Genomic DNA, 23,598 nt, shown 5'->3' with positions numbered 1-23,598 from the left:
TATAAAAGATACAAAGCTGAAAAGGAGTCTGAAAACTTAGCTTGTTTTTGTTTTTGCTTCTAGATTTTCTGCATTGAACCATTGCAAACAGATGGCGATTTATAATGTTTGGTGACCTCCAGAGAAAGGGATTCCAAAGCTTCTGAAGGTTAGACTGTATAATGTGATCTTTGTGTTTATTATCTTTGTAGGAGACTAAAAATTTTATTCCATATATTGTCCTTCCATTATACAAAATTTGTAACTGTAAATTTACTTCCTAGTTTATAAGAAATATTAACTTATTCACTTGTAAAATATAATCCTACAAATTATATTATTCCCATGTTATATAAGACAAAAATTAAAATTTGAATGCTTTTCCCACGATCCTATAGAGAGTAAGGGGCAAAGCCAGAATTCCAGTTGAGGCCATCTGATTTTAAATCTGGTGTTCTCCACTATTGTAAACTTTTTCTGCTTCTCTATGGACATGAACACAATTTACAGCATGACTTCATTGATTCCTGGATTTGGGGTTGTTTTATATTGGAAGCCAGTAACTTAATCTGCCAAAAATGGAGGTCCCCATGGGCCATTCATTTAAAAAATAAATGTGTCAAAACAGAATCAGAAAATTGAAGTGGGAAAGCTCCTCAAATCTTCTGCAAGAGAGGTAATTTCAAAACAATTTTGGTTTTCTCTTTTATTTAATATATGCTTTCTGTCTCTCTTTTCTGCATGTATACATAACTTCAGTGACCAATGTCTTTATAGTCCACCATGCTTCTTGTGCTAGGTGAATTGTCCACTAGGCTTAATTTCTTGACCTTCAGTAATTTTCTTGACTTTCTTCAAAATTCCTGGTTTTCCTGGCTACTTTATGACTGTGGAGTCTGAAAAATAGATAAAGTACAAATAAAAGCTGAACAGGTCAAGTTCTAAATGCCTGGTTTATTTTCAGGATATCTGCATGTTTGATGCTTTTCATGGTCCGGTTGTCCACCAAGACCCATACTATTTATAATATGAATGACATTTGAGTAAACAACAAACATTTAGTAATTATTTTGAATTAGAAAATATTCAACTAAAATGTATTGTTGGTAGTATTAAAGAAGATACAAGATAAATTCTGAGTACAAACATATGTACAAGTATATCCACAGAAAAACACTAGGCTCAATGCCAAAAAAAAAAAAAAGGCTAAATATTATCCAACAGAAGGTAACAGAAGCACAGAATGAATGGTAGAAAGTGGGTTGTCGGGGGTTAGTTTGGTGGGAAGAAAAAATAGATCTTAGATGTAATAATCACTCAGCTCTTACCCTTGTAGCTCAACTTAAAAGGAGAGTTTGTGTGGTGGCTCTGCTGACTTAATTCTGCTTGAACTAGCGTAGTGGGAGTCAGAGTTAGGGCTTCATACCCAATCAGAGACTCAGCAGCTGTTACAATATCTAAAGCAAGTCCAAGAGAAGATATTCTTACTGGGACACATGGTACGAAATGCTCTACAAGGAACAAGCCCTTTTCTCTTTAACATCTGTACCTCCACATGATTAGCATGAATACCACATTGTCATTTTCTTTGCCAGAATTAAATGTTCCTAATAAGATCTGTTTTCAATTTAATAGTAAACTTTCAGTCTACTTAACTACAACATAAAGCTCATAATTAAAAGTGGCTTCTGATATTCTTACATCACTCCAACTGTGCTTACAAGTTAATTATAATAATGTGAATTAAAAATGAAAGATAATCTAATCAAACAATAGTTGTGATTAATGAATTGAACACAAATTCCCAGAAGTCTCCTATACATACCAACTATGATATCACCACCTATGTGCAAATATGTATCTATATATACATACACACATATATATACACACATATACACACACTAGTATACCTATGCTGTTTTTAAATGTTTGCTTATAATTACAGTAATGACCTAGGAGTGAGACATGGCTTGAGGGTTAATGACTGGCAGGGAAAATGCATCTGGCCATTAACCCCAAATAAATATGCTTTCATAATTATTTCAAATACTTCACAAGCATATATAGAGTGTAACAAAACCTTCAATGTTATCTAGGTCAATGTCTGTCCCTCTCTTGAATGTTACCAAATTTATTAAATTATGTGAAATAGTTGTTAGAGATGTATTGTGAAACTTTGTAATTAAAATGTTTTGGTGATATGATAAATACTAAAGATATATTGTAAATGTTCTTCCAAAAATGAATAAAACTAAAGCCAATACAAAAAGGTGAAGTAGATAAATATCAAACTGATGAGCAAATTAATAAATTGGGAAAGAGTTCTTAGAAAACCACTCAAAATAAAACATCATAAATATAAAGTTATAGAAAATATGAAAAGTGAGTCAAGATAAATGTATCATAGATTAAAAAAAGGTATAAGTGTAAGAGAAAAAAACAGCAGAAAGAGATACTTAATTAGAAAATTTCTGATAATTTTCTAGAGGTGAACATTGAAAAACAAGATCAAAGATGAAAGGTAAAAATCTGGAAAGGGTAACTAGAAACAAATTCACAAGTACTTGTGAAGTTGCAGAACACTAAAGAAAGAAGAAAAATGTCTCAAAGGAAAAAAGTCAGATGGGCTAGGTAGGCAAGACAATTAGAACGCTATACTTTTCAACATCAATAATAAATGCCAGAAGACAATGAAAATACCTTTAATATGCTGAAGTATTAAAGGTCAACTAAAATCTTAAACGCAGATAAACTAGCATTTAAAATAAAGGTAAAGTAAATTCATTTCTAAACATTAAAAAATGGATATTTTACCACTCACAGACCCTCCCTGAAAGAACTACTAAGGGAGGATGAAGAAATGAGCGTAAAACTGAAACCAAAAAAAAAAAAAAAAAAAAAGGAGAATACAAGAAACACACTTGAACAAAGATACAGAAGAACAAACACACAGATAAACATGTTTTTCAATAGGACTACCAAATATAAAAAGAGAAATTATGACCACCTGTGAGAGTTTTCAAATCAGCTGGAGGCCGCCGGCCCTGGCCAGCTCGCGCTCCCTTCCTGCGTAGCCCTCCGTCAGTTCTCTCGTGAGTCCATGGTCTCCAGTTCAGTTATCAGCCCTGCTTTCCCAGCTTGCGACTTGCGGACAGGCGTCCTGGGCACGAAGAGACTGGACTCGGATTCGTCGCCCGAATCTGTCCTCTGAGAAGTTCAAGGTACTTCGTACAATTTCAGCCACCCAGGCCAGTGTCCTCCAGCAATGGTTCCCGTCCAGAAGAAGCTGGTAATTGTCGGTGACAGAGTCTGTGGCAAGACATGCTTGCTCATTGTCTTCAGCAAGGACCAGTTCCCAGAGGGGTGAGCACCCTCAGGGTTTCAGAACTATGTGGCCCATATCGAGGTGGATGGGAAAGTGTAGAGCTGACTTTGTGGGACACAGCCAGGCAGGAAGATTAGGATCGCCTGAGGCCCCTCTTTTACTCGGACACTGATGTTATGTGTTCTCCGTTGACAACCCTGAGAGTTTAGAAAACATCCCAGAGAAATGGAGCCCAGAAGTCAAGCATTTCTGTCCCAACGTGCCCACCAGCCTGGTTGGGAACAAGAAGGATCTTCGGAATGATGTGCACACAAGGTGGGAGCTAGCCAGGATGAAGCAGAAGAGGGTGAGACTCGAAGAGGGCAGAGATATGGTCAAGGGAATTGGCTCTTTGGGGTACATGAAGTGTTCAGCAAAGACCAAAGATGGAGTGAGAGAGGTTTTTGAAGTGGCTGCGAAAGCTACTCTGCAAGCCAGATGTGGGAAGAAAAACTCTGGGTGCCTTGTCTTGTGAAACAGTGCTTAAGAGGTGAATTTTGAAGTGCTGTTGGTTAGTCTTAGTGGATGAACACTGGCCTTTATCACTTATATACAGTTTACCTAAGATTACAAATTTAAGGCATGCCATCTTGTTACCAGTATTTAGAAACCAACCCTGATTCTTAATGATGTCAAATCCGTCAGGCCTACCAGGATCCTTTTACCACTACTCTTAACAACCCTCCTCTACACTTCTGCCTGACGCACCACGGCAAATTCAAAGAATTTCTTAACTTCTTGCTTCTGTCTTGAAAGAGAAACAGCTGGTAACTTTGCAAATTAGGCTGCAACTACTTTATAACTAACGTTCCCTGCCTATCATCTGTCAACAGCAAGGTACTCTGGTGAGACACAACTTCAGTGCTTTACTCCTTAACAGGCTTCATTGGCATAGCTCTGGGACAGGCATCTGGTCTTTTGAAAATGGGTTCTACAAGGAAGGCCCAAGTCCATGCAGCTGTGGCACAGTTACAGTTCTGTGGTTTCATGTTAGTTACCTTAGAGTTACTGTGTAATTAGTGCCACTTAATGTACATTACCAAAATAAATATATCTACCCCAGACTGGATATAGTATTTTTTTATAATTGGATTTCCTAATATTGACATTTGTTATCCCCAAAGACAGTGTATTGCTTGTTAAAAAATAAATGTGTTTGGAAATGTCAAATGGAAAATTCATTTTTAAATAAATAAATACTAAAATAAAATAAGGTCCAAGAAAAATACTAATGGAAATATAAGAATAAACATGGATTTTTCGGGTAATGTAGTCTAAGTTTCTCATATAGCTCAAAAATCTTAGAGATAAAACCAATGAAAGAGCAAAAATTTAAAAATAAGAATTTCAAAGCAGTAAAAAAAATGATTAATAGAAATATGATTATTCCAATAAATATTAGAAAATAAATACAGGGAAAAGATTATATTCAGTAAAAACAAAAGAAAGTGATAGAAGGAAGTAAAATATAATAATTACAATAAGTTGCGAACAGGTTAAAATAAAATCTCCATAACATGGTAAGTGGTATAAAGAGATGTTTAGGCTATAAAGGTTATGACATAAAAAGGTTATCAAAGCCAGATGATGGAGTTGTTTCCTGCTACCTGAAATGAGCAACTATTACCAACAGTCAGAATATTTAGGGATAAAAAACTTGGTCATGATAAGGAATAATTTTGTAACAGTTGGGATTTTCTAAAGAAGGGAGTTTCTATTGAGGGAAATTCTTCAAGCCTAGGCTAGACAAATGTTAAGTAAAAGGTGAGAGTTTTATATATTGGTCTTTTTAATACCAAGATCTTCTCATGCCAGGGTTTTTCAGGTGTATAAAATAAAAACAAAATTCTGAATGTAGAATACTTTTTTTTACTCTGAAGCAGAATCAAGAAAAATATTTTAAGGATTTATTCTACTCATCATGGTATCCTACAGCCTTAGCACAGTGTGTGACACTTAACACAACTTCAATAAATAGTTCTTGAATTCAATTGAAAACCCTGGCAGATTTAATAGTTTTAGGAAAATAATAGAAAGCTAAAGAGGATAAAAGTATAGACTATCATAGTAGAAATAAACACAAAGTTATTAAACTTTATAAAATCCCATGCAGTGGGAAATATAAAGTGCATCTAGAAAATCATGAGTATTTTTCAAAATATACAAGAGAAAGAATAATTTTATCTGATGCATTTGGGTATGACCAACTATGATGGAATGTAATTCTAAACTGATAGTATTGTGTCTAGACAAGTGTTAGCTTTTTTAAAAAAGGAATTATTAAAAGTAATATTTTCCATTTTAAGAAATACATATTTTATAAGCAAACTACACCCAGATTAGCAAACCTATTGACTTCTCTATCCAGAGAGTGGACTGGGACTTCGGTTTTATTCTTCCATCCAGACAGGACCAAATACCTTCATTAAGAGGGGATTCACCGTAAGTACATTTATTGCAATAAATGTTCTTCCTGGCAGGACTTGGCTATGTGACAAGGGGTTTCCTCCATACACATCTTACAAAGTCAGTTTCTAAAAGCTATAAATTATTTTTGAGTTTTACTAAAATAAAGTAGTGCGATATTTGCCAGACATGACTTTATTTCATCTAGCCCACAGGAGCAAAGGAGATGAATTTTAGGTTTTATTTCAACATACTCAAATTAATTGCTGTTTCTTTGAATACATAGGGGATTTCCTCTCACAACCACATACCCATTCCCTATTTCGTGGTCATATGGAAAAAGATGGTTTCCTATACTGGTTCTTGCAAAAATATAATGATTGTTATTTACCTTTTTTATAGAAAACATGAAAGACATATAGACTTTACCTTAGTTTTAAGCTGCTAAAATTCTACTGGGATCACTAAGTCCTTACCTGATCCTTCAGATCTGAGGTCCATCAGCATTAACCGGCTTTAAAAGTTTATTTATAAACTGTGCTTTCCCTAGAAAGTATTTGTCAGTCTTCTTTGTACTACAGTGTTTCACAAACATGTCTGATCAAAAGAATCATATGGGGAGCTTGCAAAAAATCTGACTTGTGGATGTGTCCCCTGGAGATTGTGATTTGGTAGTTTAGGGAGGCCTAGGAATCTGTGTTTTTAAGTCTCCCCAAGTGACTCCTAAAATCAGACAAGGTTGAGAAACACTGACTCACTACATGTTGCTCCTTCAGCACTTCCTCTGCACACCATATGGTATTCTGCACCCCTAAAGGAGGTACACACTCTGAACGATGAGCTCATACCAGGAAGATAAACCCCAGAGCACTGTGACCCTTGCCCAAGAGTTCAGAAGAGATCAATGGCAGGATTTGTTTTGGCTGCATTTAGATAAAATTTATCCAATAATGGTATTAAAAACATCTGCTTTTTTTGAAGCAAATGTGGATGTAATAAAATAAGTGCTTTATTGCAGATGAAAAACTATGTGGAGATGTGAGAAAGGAAACTTGTAACTAAAAGAATAACTCTTAAAGCCACAGTCAAACTCTTGTGATTTAAGTCAGCCAGTTCAGGAAGAGGAGCACCAGTCTTAGGCCCTTTGCTATGCAGTTTCATGGAGCATGCAGGTCACTTTTCCCTTGGTTTTATATTACTTCTGGATTAATATCTTGCTTGCTCAATAATGCAAAGTGTTGGCTAATATTGTACCTGTTATACAGTACATGCTTTCAATGAATAGTTGTTGAACAAAAGAGGGGTGTGAAATAGAAGTTTTAGAAGTTAGACTAAAAGAAATAGTTTGCATTAAACATATTTTTAATTTACCTATTGATTTTAATTAAGGTCTTGCTGAGTTTGCAAATGCAAAGTGATTTTTCTAGAGGAAATATACTTTAAATCTTTCCCATATGTTTTTCATATTCTTAATGTATAAAATCAGAGTCCTAAAGATTACAATGCACACACTTAAATGATGGCTTGTTAAATCAGCCTGCATCTACCTGAGATGAAAAAAAGGTTATGAAATAGAAATAATGGATTGAGTTTTTGATATAAAAAGCAGAGACAATAGCTCTTCCAGTTAAGAATACAGAATTTTTCTTATGAAAGAAATGTTTTTATGATAGAAAAATATTTATTGAGCTTATGCCTCTCTTAGATCAATTTATGTCTTCCATGCAGTTTTGAAAACCTTTTTCTCTTTTTCTTTAAAATATAATTTCTTTCCAAGAAAGTCTCTTATTTACCTCAGAGAAAGAAAATCAATACTAGTGCAGAGAAAAAGAGACATTCTTATTTTCCATTTGGTTCCTTAAAATTACAGACATTATAATTAACATAAAATCATTACATACTGATTTTCATAATAGAAATCATGATGATCAAATTGGTACATTTTATAACCTCAAACTCAGAAAATTGCTAAGGTAGATATGTAGTTGGTTTTTTTAATTGGTATTTCACCAAAAGTAATTAATTATAGAATGTGTCATTTTCAGTAGCATTTTTTTTTTGCAAAATATCAGAGTTCCACAAAAGATTTAGTAGAAACCCGGCAGAACACAATATTCTGTCTTTATATACAAAATTAATGCTTCATCATTAGGAATTGTGCAGATTTCATAATTTTTGCTTAAGAGTATTATAATAACACTGATAAAATACCATTGTGTTAAATTAAACTACTCTGTTAAATGAGAGATGGATGGAGGAGATAATTGTAGACAGACAGACAATAATGATTAGGACATAAGGGCATAGAAGAAAATATACTTAATAATACATGTGAAAAGCTAAATAGGCTTATAGCTGTCCAATCCCAAAATACTAGATTTAGGTTCTATATCTTTAAGCTGGAAAGAAACCTGGGGGCATAGAACTTAAAAAATAAGAAAGACTTAGGAACAATATAAAGAAAAATTAAAATAGTACTTTTCTGCTAAGTTGTAAATGAATGTAACTTAATACCTCCAGGAAGTGGTATAGTTTAGAAATACAGTACAAGGAGATTCAAAAAAACACTGAAGAATTCATAATGGGTCCTTGCTGCAATTAATACACTTGAGATATATTTGGAGTGGGTATTGACAAGCAGGCCCTGCTACTGACCGTTAGCTGACACTGACATACTGGGTGGATTGAAGGACTGGCCTCTTATGATGCTCTTCATCTCATTCCTGCTCATTTGTTCTTTCTTCAAGCAGCAAAAACAGATGTAAGCCTTGCCGATCATACTTAAACAATTAACATCTAACATTCATGCTAACCAAAAATCTCAGGGAAAGAGTGAACAGTTTAGAATCTATGTATAATTTTTTGGATTTTTGTGAAAACATTTAAATAGCAAAACTAGGGAAAGTATGTTTGTTTCTTCTTGTGGGTTAGGTTGCTTGTCGTGGGTCTGCTTAGACTAGAGTAGAAAATAAATAAAGCTACATGCAGAAGTTGTGTTTTCAGAAGGTACAACAGTTATCTCAAGCTCTTGGTTAGTCAGCATAGCACACTGAAAAAGAAAGATAGGGAATTACCTGGCCACTTGGGTGCCTTTTTTCTGTGCTTGTCTGGGGGTATGCTTGCCTTTGATAATAGACACTTGTAAATACAAGTCATTGAAATGGTGGGAAGGTGAATACTGTGGCTCCAACGCTTTGAGAGGCTTTGATATTCAATGCGGTATCTTTATGTTGGAGAGTGGCTGAAGATCAAGGGCAATCAATCCTGATGCTTTCAAATTTATGGACATTTTGGCTGGAGGAGGGAATGGAAAAGATTTATCCTTCTGGAATATTTCAGGTCTACTCTGTCTCTTCTACTTCATTTTTGGATCCACATCCTAGTGGAATAGCAGAGAGGCTGTTTGCAGATGGATATGAGCTGCTGAGTCTAATTACCGCTACTCAATAACAAAAATTCCAAACAAACAAACAAACAAAAAGAATAAATTTCTTCATTTTTGGTCTACTCATATTTCTTTTTATTATAACCTTTGCTATTTTATCACCTAGAGTAAGTAATATATATTTCACCTGTAACTTATTATAAAATCACACCACTGAGAATCTAGGTCATATTTGTTATTATTAATACACTGTAAAAATGCCAAGCATTTTCTATTTGACCTTTTGCAACTCTCTCTCCACCACGCTTCCTATCTCTGTTCTATCTCCTTCACGTTGTCTCAAATGTGGGAAATAAATGTCTTTCTATGTCTTGTTAAAATTAATTCTTTCTTCTTTTCTAATTCTTAATGACCTTGGGCAGTCTTTTCTCATTTAAGAATAATATACACCTGTTTCAGGCTGTCACAGTCTCTCAGGCCTTTTTGTTAACTGCTGCTGCTACTTCATCTTATAAATTACCTCCTTCTCCCCAGAAAGTGGCATCTCCTTTGAATGAGCTTTCTCTCACCTACATCTTCCTTCCCCTTTTCCTCCCTCCATTGATCTTTTTCTCTTTGTATCCATGATTTCTTCCTTTCATAAAGTTTTCTTTATAAAAATGTCATTTTATAATCTAAATTGAAATTCAATTTACCCTCACAATTTTTTTAAATGGAAATTGATACATTTCCAAGTTGTCTAGAACTAAAGATATTCTAACAATAGAACAATAAACATAATAAACTTAAGAAATATTAACATATGAAATGACAAGTTCCTGAACTTTATACTAACACTTTGTAATAATTCATAAGTCCATAATAACAACCCAATAATTCATTTTTTAAAATTTCTATGTATCTAAAAACACCACTGTATCAGGAGATGTTACATGATTTCATTGGTTTATTGGTCTCTGGTAATATTTAACAGATTTCATAATTGTAAGAAATGATAAATTAGATTGAATCCAACACAAAATTTATAACCAACTAAACAAATAACCCACGCAAAGAAGAAAGTACAATACCAATTTGTATTATCTTTGTGCTTATTGATAGCTAGTATATTTTGGAGACAAAGCAAATTTTCCATGAAAGCTGAAGATTTAGCTTGGTACCTTATAATGGATTCATTAATGCTGGAGGAAAGAATTTATATAATTAAGTAACATTTTATTTACTCAAAGGAAACTAGTAAAACAAAACATATAGAATAAGTGGATGTTCTCTCTTGTTCACTGTTTATTAAGATTTTACACCAAATTACATAAAATTTGCTTCCGAATATCTATTGATAAATGAATTAATTGGCATTATACATAAAAATTAGAACTCTAGGGGAAAAATCCAGAATATATTAAAATAAAATTACTTAAGTCTTATAAGTGCTAGCTAACCTAACAATTAGGTTGCTTTGCATAACAAAAATATTGTTTTCCTAATAGTGTTTCCTCAGTAGAACTAGCAGGAGGGGCGGAGGGAAGAAATTCATGTTGGTATAACAGAAGAACTAAAGCTAAGGAACATCAAAGTAAAGCGAGTTGCCTCCTTGGTGATTGGGCTGGTTTAACCAATACTAGTTAACACATACGATTGCACATTTCATGGAACTGGAAACATTTCTTTCATGTGTTGAAAAATTTTCAGGAGACAGGATTTCAAATTAGTGACTATATTACCAAAAGAAGAAGTATTATTAAAGACCTGTATTATTCCAAATACATTAGACTAGTAAGACTAGTAAAGGTACACTATTTATATTCATTTTTAAAGTGTAAGATGATATAATTTGACTTATATTGCAATTTGTATAAATGAGTATGCCAAGCCTGGGCTGATCCCCTGCATTTTCAGTAACCAAAAGTCCCAAATAAGCTACTATGAAAAATAGTGTCTTGGAATTATAGTATTGTTAGAAACAATCTACATAGGTTGGCAGAACTTTGTAAGTTTTGTTGAATTAGTGAATGAGTAGGAAATTTAGGACACATCCAGTGTCTTCTGTCACTTAGGATTGGCTAATTTCCTGAACAAATGAGTCTAAACTTGACTTAATAAAACAAGAGAAATAGGTTGAAATATACATTTGGGATACTATTTCAATACCTGACACTTTTTCTGCAAGTTAAAGGCAAATTGTATAACTTGCAAAGTCTCAATTTCCCAATTTTTCAAGCAGACATGGTAACATTTGCAACCTATCAAAAGAGCTCAGGAAGGTTTAATGAGGTGACATATCTAAAATGTTATCTGAGAGAAAATATTTTTATTATCTCTGCAGATAATACCTCAGCTTGACTGGAGAAAAAAGATACTACAAGATATTATTGTATTATGATAAAGCAATGAACTACCACCTGCAGGAAATTGGCTTCATGAAAGGCAATGACAAAGAGCACAACAGGATTACATGAAATCAATCAGAGGCAGGCAGGAAGAACACAAGCCAGATGAAGTGGAGTCTTTCATGACAGGCAGGAGAATATATCAAAGCCATCCTTGCTAATTTCAAAAAGCCCACTCCCTCCTCTAGAGGTGAGAACATTACTTCAGACAGCATGCTGGCTCCACTGGACCTCTGTGAAGATGCTACGACTCCATTTGTGGGTTTCTTAAAGAATGATTTAGGAATGAAAAAGGCCAGCAAGCCTGAGCACTGTTAATTTAGATCATCCGTGGGAGACACTTGAGTGCAAACTTTTCCACATTTATTTCTCCATTAGGAACTTATTTGCAACAACTGAACCTTCACTTCTATATTTTAATTGCAAACTAATCTTCTTTTAATAATGCTCTCTTAAGTAATTTTCAAAGAAAATGCTAAGTAATTTATCTAAAAAGATACATCCTTACAAACAAAACAATAAAACAACTTATATAAAAGTAGATAATATCACCAAATAGGTACCCACAAAAATTAAAAATTGAATAAATAAGTAAATAAACAAATATTTTCTGTCTATTATTATTATTAAAAAAGTAGATGGTATCTATCCTTGAAAGACAGAGTGAAATTAGAAGGAGAAACAACAGTCAAACTGATGGGTATGATGGATGAGTCATGGTGAGATCTCCTTGAAGGCCAATATTTTTCAGAGGAAGAGCAGATGCTGTAAGAAAATCTGAATAAATGCTGTAATCCTAAGGTTACGTTCAGTAATGAATTCACATGTTCCAAGACCTGTAAGGATAAGTGAAAAGAGTATTCTGAGAAACCTCATGGTGTTCTCTGTGCTCAGACGAAGGCCTATACCATGAGTATTAGACACATATAAGCAGTTGTTAACAGTATGATACAGTATCATAGAACTATGTATAATTGGAAGTTTGATATCTATAAGGATGTTTTAAGTGGTTGCAGCTGTGATATTGACAGAGGAGCTAATATTGCCAGGGGTTCTAGGTAAGTAAGATGACAGTTTTTCACTTAAAAATTACCAAATTTCCTCCTGAAATAAATACCAGGGGGTAAATAAATTAACTAAATACATCAATTACATTTTTATCTATGCCTTCAAATTGATTCCTTTCTAGTAATAAAGATACTTTGAATTCAATTAAGGTTCAATGAAAATTTAGGGTAGTAAAATATTATTTTAATTAATTCACATACCTATGAAAGTTCAACTTAAATATTTTGGTTCAATTGCCAACAGTCTCTTTCTAAAGTTTGTTAAACAGAAAATAAAATATTTATATTTGTGAATCCAGAGTTAATGTAGCATTTATGAAACATTCAAAGAAAAAGCAAAAGTTCTCTCCTTTGCAGCATATTAATTGGAATCACATTTTTCAGGAAGAGTGTTCATAACAGACAAAAAAAGCAAAATTACTTCACATTTTTTATAAGGTCTTAGCTTATAAAACACTTCGTTCAAGAGAGAGCTAGCATACATCTTAGAAACAATCTCTTCGACTTTTCTCAATCCATATTCCAAGTTGTCCCTGAGCTGAGCTGAGATAGATTTAGACCACACTCTAGTTCACATAATAGCAATCTTTTTCAAATGTATAAGGGAAAAAAGAGCTAATGTATGAGTTTTCTCAATTTCATGTTTTCTCTCATATTTATTTTCTTTTCTGCTATTATTTGTCTTTTAGTAATATTAGTAAACAATAAATGATCAAGCGGCGATATAATAAATAACTTTATTAAAATGAATATGTGTTTTAAATATTTTGATTGTTTGTGGATTTTCTGATGTGGTGGCGACTTTACTTTGCTCACCTATAATAGAGTCATGTTATGTTAGGAAAAAGAGTTCCTATTTAGTGCTATTACCTAAAATATACTTTGAAGGCATGATTTTCCTTAAATGGAGACACAATTTTCAAGTATCCTATTACCTGGGTAAGCATAAAAGCTTTAAATGTGGTCTAATGTTGAGTTCTAGTAATGTCACAGAGGTGGTAAGTAGCACAATAAAATTAAAAACCCATCATCTGGCTTTGAGTACAAGATTTGTCTTATTCAATTAGTTGTTTGTATAGCAGGGATTTTGTTTTCATGAGGAAAGAAGACAAGAGAACAGCAGGGTTCTGAGTATTTCTGTGAGGCTGTTTTCGAATAGCATTTAAGTTGGTAGACTTCAAGTAAAGTATATTGCACTCTATTACATGGGTGGGTCGCATCAGTTGAAGGCCTTAATGCAATAAAAAGATTGCTCTTGAGCAACAGCAATTTTTCCAGAGACTTCCCTTGGACTTCCCCTTCAACATTTAAGCTTTCTGACTCTACAGTAAATTGTTTTAGGACTTGAATTAGAACATCGGCTCTCCTTGGCCTCTAGTCTGCTGGTCTTTGGACAGGAACTACATTCTCAGCTCTCCTGGATCTCCAGCCTGTTAGTCCACCCCACAGATTTTGGACTTGCTAGCCTCTAAAATTGGATGAACCAATTCTTTATAATACATTTCTTCACACACACAGACACACAGACACACACAGACACACGCACACACAGTCTATTGGTCTGTTTCTCTGGAGAATCTTGAGTAGAAGGATCGCCAATTTCTGTTTCTAGTTAAGTTGGAGTAACAGGACAAGGTAACAACAGCAACAAAATGAAACATTGGATTACAAGATAATATCAGTAGACATCAGGCAATGAAAATGAGTTATCACCGAGGGTTGGGAAACATTAGGTAAGCATTATGACTGCTCCCAGCTTAACTGCCTTGAGAGGGTTTCAATACCACTTCACAAGAGAGAGGTACTAAGGGAACCTGATGGACCCCCTGAGTTGAAGAGATGGAGTTGAGAGTTCAAGGAGGCTGAGGAGACCAGAATATGTAGGTGAACGCACTAGAGAGAAAAGAGCTGCCCAGGAAAATGAATCCAGAGATCTGCAGAGAGTGTCCCTCAAGTATTGAACAGAAAACTAATTAGTATACGCATGTGAGTGAACTATCACAAGACAGGAAAGGAGCCACCTGAAAAGATCAAAGATAATAGTGTTTGGCACTCACACAGGTCTGCAATAGTGCTTAATCCTTCCAGAAAGATTAGAAAACCTCATGATTCATGGTATTGAACTGAACACACAGGAGGGCCTTATCTCAGTAGTGGGAAATAATCAGACGTCTGCTAAGCATCATTCTGGTCCAGTCTAACAAATCTTAAAAGCAAATTAGGGATCAAACAGTTTCCAAGTGACTTAATGGTGTCTTAGGAAAAAAACTCAAGAAGACAGAGGAATAAAAAAAATTCAGTAACCAAAAAGATAAAAATTATAATATAATACCTGCTATCCAGTCAAAAAATAGCATGCATGCAAAAAAACCTGAAAAATTAGACCCATAATGAGAAGAAAAATAAAGCAATGAAAGTCACCCAGAATTGAGGTTAGAATTGGCACTCAGGTATTAAACATATATTATAACTCTTTCCTATATATTCAAAAATATGAGTAGAAATATGAAGGGTATAAATAAAAACAAATTAAATATCTAGAAACAAAAACTATAATGAAAACAACTATTCATAATAAAATGTAGCAGAAAAAGGTGCACAAAAAATAATGAACAAAGCACAAGTGAGCTGTTGGGCAATCGTAAGTAGCCTTATATGTGTGTTATTAGAGTCACCAGAGAAAAGGATGTGGGAGTGTCAAAACATATGTGAAAAGCAATGGCTGAATCTTTTCTAAATTTAAAGAAAACTGTGAACTTACAGATCCAAAGAGCAATAAATCCAAATTACAAAAAAAAAAAAAAAAAAAAGGAAAAAGAAAGAATACAAAGAAAAGAAAAGAAAAAGAAAGGTAAAAGAAGAAACTACACCAGGGCACATAAGACCAAATTGTCCTAAATTAGTGATAAAAATAAAAGAAAAATTATTAAAACAGCAAAAGAAAAACACATGGGATAGACCACAAAGAAGAACAGAGATAAAGATAACAGCAGATTTATAATTGAAAAGAATGAAAGTTGGGAGAGAGTGGAGCAATACCTTTGAAAGTACTGAGAGAAAACAGCTGTCAGCCAAAAATTCTGTTCCTAGCACACGTATCTTTCAAAAGCAACAGCAGAAAAAAGACATTTCAGACACAGCGAAGCTCAAATAATTTATCACTGACAGACAGTACTGAAAATAAAATGTTTAAATAAATCTTTCTGGTAGTAGAACAATTATACCAGATGAAATATGAATCTACACAAAGAAATGAAGATCGTAGAAATGGTAACTATTGATAATTTTTAATGTTATTTACATCTCCTAAAACTAGTTAACTAAACAAAAATAAAATCAATATAGTGTGTAGTTTTTAACATATGTAAAAGTGAATGTGTGACAATAAGAAAACAAAGATTGAAAACACAGAAGTATTGTATTTTATAATTCTAAGATGTGCAAAATTATGTATTACTTAACAACATAAGTTACTATAAACCACGAAGCAGCCATTAAAATAATAAAAACAAATAACCAATAAGCCAACAATGTAGATAAAATAAAATCATGAAGTCCTCATTTAATTCAGAAGTCAGATAAAGAGGAAAATGTAAACAAAGAATACATCAGACAAATGGGAAACAAAATGTTAGATTTTAATTAAGCAATCACATTAAATGAAAACAGTCAAAACACACCATTTTAAACAGCAGGCTTTTTCTCTTTATTTGACTATTCTTGAATCCAATGAGGATCTTTTATGATTCCATTTTTATCTTCTTTTTGGGCTTTATGGTTATTTGTTTTTATCATTTTATGGCTGCTTTGTGGCTTACAGTATACATTTTTGACTTATGACATGGATACAATGACCCAATTATGTACTATCTACCAGAAACCCAGTTTAAATACAAAGACAGAGTGTATCAAAAGTAAAAGAATAAAAAAAGTCATGATAACTCTAATCAAAAGAAAGGTGGAATGATCATATTGATACCAGATGAAGTAGATATCAAAGCAAAGGCTTTATCAAGAATAAAGAATGTCATTCTTTGATAGTAAAGTCATCAATTTTTTAAGATGATATAAAAAATTTTAAATTGAATGCAATGAAAATAGAGCATCAAAATATATAAAGTAAAAATAGTAGAAATGAAAGGTGAAAATAGATCCACAATTATAGTTAAAGATTTCAACAATCTACTTGGTACAACAAAAAGATAAAATATAGATTACAATATAGAAGACCTGAAAAATACTATCAACCAGCTCATCGATGTTTATAAAATACTATATGCAACAGAATAATTCACAGTTTTTTAAGTATACATGGAACTTTTGCCAAAGTAAGCAATATTCTGGGCCATAAAATAAGTCCTCCAACTCCAAAATTTAAAATGATTCAAGTCATGCAAAATATGTTCTCTGGCCAAGGTGGAATTAAATTGGAAATAAATCACTGGAGGATGCTTGGAAAATCCCCAAATATTGAAAAATGAAACAATACAACTCTAAATAGCCTATAGGTCAAAGTAAAAATCAAAAAGTATGTTAGAAAGTATTTTGAACTGAGTGAAAGTGAAAACACATGTCAAAATATACAGGATGCTAGTAAAGCAGAACTCAGAAGTAAATTATAGCACTAGATCTGTATTAGGAAAAATTAAACAGTTCTCAAATTCATGACTATAGTTTCAACCCTAAGAAACTAGAGAAATATAGTAAATTAAACCTTAAGACAATAAAAGAAAGGAAATAAGGATTGATATAAATCAAAATAGAAAACAGTAAATAGAGGAAATCAATAAAATCAAAAGATAGTTTTTAATAATGTGAAAATTAATTGATTCATCTCATGCCAGACTACCAACAAAAAGAGAGGGGTGAGGGGTGACACAAATCACCAATATTAGGAATAAGAGAGGTCATATCATTACAGATTCTACATATATTAAAAGTATAATAAAGAATACTGCGAACAACGTTATGCCAGTAAATTTGACAACAGAGGAAATCAACCAACTGCTTGAAAAACGCAAACTACCAATATTTATTCAATAACAAGTAGATAACTTGAACAGCCATGTATCTATTTTTAACAAACTTCAGGTTGTAGTTAAAATTCTTTCCAGTCAGAAAATTCTAGTTTCAGCTGGGCGCTGCAACTCATGTCTGTAATCCCTGCACTTTGGGAGGCCATGTTGTGCAGATCACGAGGTCAGGAGTTTGAGACCATCCTGGCCAACTAAAAATACAAAAAAAAAAAAAAAAAATTAGCCGGGTATGGTGGCACTTGCCTGTAGTCCCAGCTACTTGGGAGGCTGAGGCAGGAGAATACCCTGAACCTGGGAGGCAGAGGTTGCAGTGAGCCGAGACCACGCCACTGCACTCCAGCCTGGGCAACAGAGCGAGACTCCATCTCAAAAAAAAAAAAAAAAAAAAAGAAAAAAGAAAGAAAGAAGAAAGAAAATTCTAGTCTCATGTGGCTTCGCTATTAAGTTCCACCAAATGTTTAATGAATATATCATACAAACTTTACACAAGTTTTTCCAAAGAAATGAAAAGGAGGGCACTATCAGAGCCCAGAATTACTCTGACAATAAAAGAAAAACAGAAAGAAAAAAACATCTCCTAAACATGATGCAAAAGCTCTCTACAAAATGTTAGCAAATTGAAGCCAACAATAAAAATATATAATACATAATTACCAAGCGGGGCTTATTCTAGGAATGAAGGTTTAACATTAGAAAACCCATCAATGTAATTCACAATATTGGAAGATAATTATTAAAAATCCATGTGATCATCTCAATGGAGAAAACGGTGTAGAGAAAATCCAAAACCTGTTCCTAGGGAAAATTCTTAGAAAACTAAGAATAGAAGGTAATTTGTCCAACCAAGTGGTTCTATGAAAATATGCAGCTAATATTATATTTAATAGTGAAAGACTGAATGCCTTTTCCATAAGATGGAAACAAGAAAAAAATTATAATAACTACCTTCAACACTTCTGTTTAACATTATACTGGAGGTTCTAGCTAGTAGAATAAGTTAGAGAAAAAAGAAATAAAAGCATGTCGATTAGACAGAAAGAAGTAAAACTGTCTTTATTTGTAGATGACATACTTGTACATGTAGATATTGTGACAGATCTACAAAAATCTACAAAAATTAATTTACGAGTTCAGCAAGGTTTCAGGTTACATAATCAATATACAAAAATCAATAGTATTTCTAAATACAACAAATATCAAAAACTAACATTTAAAATGTAGCAATAACCTGGAACAATATGAAATACTTAGGGATAAATCTAACATGTAGAAAACTTGCACACTGAAAACAACAAAATACTAAAGAAATAAACTAAGGAACTAAAAAATGACAGATATATTATGATTGTGGTTCAGTAGACTCAATATTATCAACACGTTAACTCTTCCTAGGGTGATCTACGGGTTTAATGAAATCTCAGTCAAACTCACAAGAGAATTTTTTTTGCATGTGTGTACCAAACTCATTCAAAAATTCATATAAAAAAGCAAAGGCCCTAGACTAGACAAACCAACTTTAAAAGAGATAAACGCTACTTGATTTAGACACTTATATAAAAGTATAGTAATCAAAATACTGTGACATCAAAGCAAAGACAGAAAAACAAATAAATGGAAATGATAATCCAGAAATATATATATATATGGACAGAGGTATAAAAGAAATTCAGCTTCTAAAGAATGATAATTTTTCAACACAGTGCTAAAAGAATTAGATGTCTATTTGTATGTGCCACGTAGAAAAATCTAGAAAATCAAATGTGTACTAGAACAAAATTTAAAACCTGAAACTATAAAACTTTACAATAAAACCATACAATAAAATCCCATGACCTTGGGATAGGCCAAGATTTCTTACATACAACACTGAAAGTATAGCCCATAAAAGAATTAATTGATAAATTTGTTTTATCAAAGTGAAAAAATGTCTTCTCTTTGAAACATCCTGTTAATAAAATGAAAATCAACATTATATATTGAGGGAAAATATTTGCAAATAATATATCTAATAAAGAATTTTTGCTAAGAATAACAAACTCTTAAAACAATAACAAGAAAACAAACCAATAAAAGTTGGGCAACAATTTGGATGCTTCACCAAAGAAGACATCCTATTGGCAGAAAAGCATGCAAAACAGTGTTTAGCATCATTTTTCTATATGAAATGAAAGTTAAAAATACAATTATATATTACTAAATATGTTAGAATAGCTAAAAGTAAAAAGACTGATCACATTTAATGTTGGCAAAAATGTGAAGAAACTACAACTTTCCAGTGCTGCTGGTGGGTAAGTAAAATGATACAACCACTTTGGAAAACATTTGGAGATTCTTAAAGTGTTCAATATAGACCTACAATAGCATTGAGCCCTTTACTTCTAGTTATTTGCTCAAGGAAAATGAAATTACATCTCTATAACAAATACTTCTATGCAAATGTCAGTAGCAGATTTATTTGCATTAGTGAAAATCTAGAAAATACCAAATATCAATTATCAAGTGAATGGACAAACAGTGGAAAAATTTGTGCAAGGAAATACTATCTATCAATATAAAGACATAGCCATTAACAAACATACCATTGATGAATCTCAAAATTATTATGCTAAGTGACAAAAGCAAGACAAATTGCACATACTGTATAGTTCCATTTACTTAAAATTCTAGAAGGTGACAACCAATTTATTGTTACAGAAAGCAAATCAGATTGCCTGAGCATAAGATGGGGGAAGGATTGGTGAGGAATGAAAGGAAGGGATTCCAACCAGGCCCTTGGAAACTTTTGGGAGTGATGAATATCTGCATTATCTTGAGTTTGGTAATATTCTCACAGGTGTATATATATATGTCAAAATTTATCAAATTGTACCTTTTAAACATGTTCAGCTTATTGTATTTTTTTAAAAAGGAAACAAAAGAATTTTTAAATTTAGACAGTTCAGACAACTGGACTGTCTGGATTAGAGTATCTGCTTTCCTAGTTACCAGTAATGCGACCCTAGGAAAGTTATATAACCTTTCTTTGTTGGCAAAATGGGTATAGTTATAGCAATTACCTATTAGGTAATTCACATATAGTGCTTACAACATTGCATCACATAATAAGGACTAACTCAGCACTTTCTATTATTACTAATGTTGTATGTTCTTAAAGCAATTAAAATATCACACTGCCTATAAATATTATTCTAGATGTTGTAAGGAGAATGCAGAAGAAATTATGGAAAAGAAAGCTATTCATCAGGAAAAAAACGCCACCTTGAGAAAAATATCCACATACATGTGCTCATATACAACTACATACATTTAGATAAATATAAAATGCAACAAATAACTGTAAGGTTTTATAGTTTGGATATTAACTAAAGAAAAAAGTACTATACAATACTACATTTAAAATTATCCTTGGAATAGTTATTTGAAAACTAATTTTCATGAATTCCATTACATATTACTCAGGAAAAGAAAAATCTAATGACAATGTTATTGTTACAGAGAAAGAAATAAAATAGTTCTACCATTGTCTGAAATTATTTGTGTGCATATTTCAGTGACAGAATTGCAAAAATAAATACCATTTAAATTATGATATATATAAAATAACATAAAATATAAAAATAATATAAATAAATTATAATCTAAATGAAAAGTAGATTTTAATCTAAAGGTAAAAGAGTCTAAATGAAATTCCTTATTATAATTTAATACAAGTCAACATTTGTAGCCTTTTTCAGTTTTTTCTTGCCAGTGTGCTTAACTTGTACACATTTTCTAAAATCTTGATTTTCAAGTTACATGTTTTAATTTATATATGACGGAACTAATCACATCTTCTTTACTCTTCCTTCCCTTTCTACATTCAGGCTTTTGCTTGCCATATTTTCTCACTTAAATATATCTCTTTTCTCTAAGTATAATCTTCAACATCACTTCTCTAGCCTATAGCAGGTTTCTTCCTCCTTTGTGTAAAAGAAAGCAAAATGGACCTTATTTTGTGAATCCTATTTTGTTTTAATTAAAAAGATATTGATACAACTCTAAAATATACTTTGAACATTCTAAATAATGGGACAATAACACTGTTTTTTTCCCCTTACCAACAACATTTTGCCAGTAGTTAATTTTATTCAGTTTTTTTCAGCATTGTTTCCTTAAGAGTATTCAAAAGGATGGGGAAAATCATAAGCTGTCTTTTTAGGATACAGAAACACAAAAGGAAAAAAAGTATCTCCTTGTCAGTCACAATGTTAACACTAAGCAACAGCTCTGCAATATTATTCCCACCAAAAATAGACGTCTTAGGTTCACAATGCAATGTAATATTTTAGGGGGACTTAAGAGTGTGCCACAGTTTCCACTTGACAATCTTCTTTTCACTGAGTGTCCATCCTATAAAACACACTGCAGTGATAAGGGACTAAGTTAATGTCCTAGATTGTCTAATAAAATGCTATTATATTGGAACACGTTTAGTAAAATTATTTTCTTTTGAACAATGAATCACCTAGTTGTAATGAAAAATAAGATTTCTTTGGTGTATACCTCTGGGTAATAATTGAGTATTTTCTTCTTGTAGAATGACTTTAGTCTGGCATGTAGTAGGCATTCAATATGTATTTACTAAAATAGTAAAAGAAAAATAGGGCATATTTATTTTAAGGAGTGTTTTGGATAAATATTATAGCTTTAGAAACATGAGCTATGTTATTAATGACCCTCTTCTGTGTGCCATAAAAAGCATGAGTATATCAAGTATAAAACACTAATAGGTCATTTTGCACTGATAATAACATCCTACTTCCTGAAAATTAATGTACATGGTCATTACATGTATATTAATAAACTCTTATTTCAAGAGCTTAATAAGACAGATGGATAACAGATATAATTTTCAACATCAGCAGATTTAACAACAAACAGCTATTTCCAAGTATTACTTTTACTTTGCCAATTCTCAAAAATACTAAACAAGAGGTCATTTTTGTATTCAGTTTTACTGAGTAGAACAGCTCATTGCTTCTAGTAAAATGATATTGGCATTTCGATAATTTCTGCAAACTTGAAAAATTATCAAACATGTTTGGTTTTCAAATAACAAGGGAGAATCACCTGTTATATCTGAATCACAAGTTACCAAGTCTTTACAAATAATGCTGGCTAATCAGCACAACAATAGTGTGGATGGGAAGTGCACAGAGAAGGATAATGGAAAGAGTAGGCCCTGATTGTTCTATTAAAATGGGAGCAATTCAACACTTAGCACCATTAGGCACTGATAACTTGGACTGTATAAAGAAGACCTTTCAGAGTTTCAAGTGTTCTTCAGTCAACACAATGCACTGGTGAATAAAAATTGGTACATTTGTTAAAAAATATAGATACTGGTTGCTGAAGGGAATTATGAACTTGATAATTAGTCACATTTAAAAAAATCATTAAAATAATATATTATGCAAAATTAAATCACAGTGAATGGACCATATGGATATTTTTCTATTTACTGTATTTCATTATGGCACTGATAAGTAGCATATGGTTTGTAACACTGTCATTTAATAATTAAAATGACTTTTATTATTTTGTTTACTGGTTTCTCATTTCTAGAGACTGTAATTTTGCCTTGTGATTAGTAATGAAGCTCACTCAGCAGCTCCTTCTAATAGAACTCAGCATGGACAATTTTCCACACAGATTCAATCTCTGCCTGAATCACACTAATCCTTTGATTGGGCTCAAGGAAAGGCTTGGATCCCTGTAGTTCCTGATGCACCGACTATTCATAAAAATAATAACAAGGCACCAAGCAGTCAGAAATGTGGGCCTTGCACCTGTTCTTTGCCCCAGTGAAACGAGCCGCAGGATGGTCCTTGTTGATTTTTCAGTGGGACTAGATCTAATTTATTCACACTGGGGAATGAAGGCCTCTTGCAAGGTTTGAGCCTAAGGTTGTAGTTGAGAGAAGCTTTTGGTG

The 23,598-nt window shown here is 32.8% G+C and overlaps 1 pseudogene, besides 1 other annotated feature; it reads left to right on the top strand.

Moving 5' to 3' along the window:
- On the top strand, window positions 3,254-3,818 carry LOC100129847 (ras homolog family member A pseudogene; annotated as a pseudogene).
- Window positions 22,542-23,096: an enhancer, noted in NCBI's record as "OCT4-NANOG hESC enhancer chr6:92506283-92506837 (GRCh37/hg19 assembly coordinates)". NCBI's record gives its function as "activates a minimal SCP1, AML or CMV promoter by ChIP-STARR-seq in naive H9 embryonic stem cells {active_cell/tissue: H9 hESC(naive)}" and the evidence as "EXISTENCE:reporter gene assay evidence [ECO:0000049][PMID:30033119]".

The sequence above is a fragment of the Homo sapiens genome, chromosome 6, assembly GCF_000001405.40.
Source record: "Homo sapiens chromosome 6, GRCh38.p14 Primary Assembly".
NCBI classification, from domain to species: domain Eukaryota; kingdom Metazoa; phylum Chordata; class Mammalia; order Primates; family Hominidae; genus Homo; species Homo sapiens.
The sequence above is the reverse complement of the archived record's forward strand: the minus strand, read 5'-3'. Positions and strand labels throughout refer to the sequence as shown.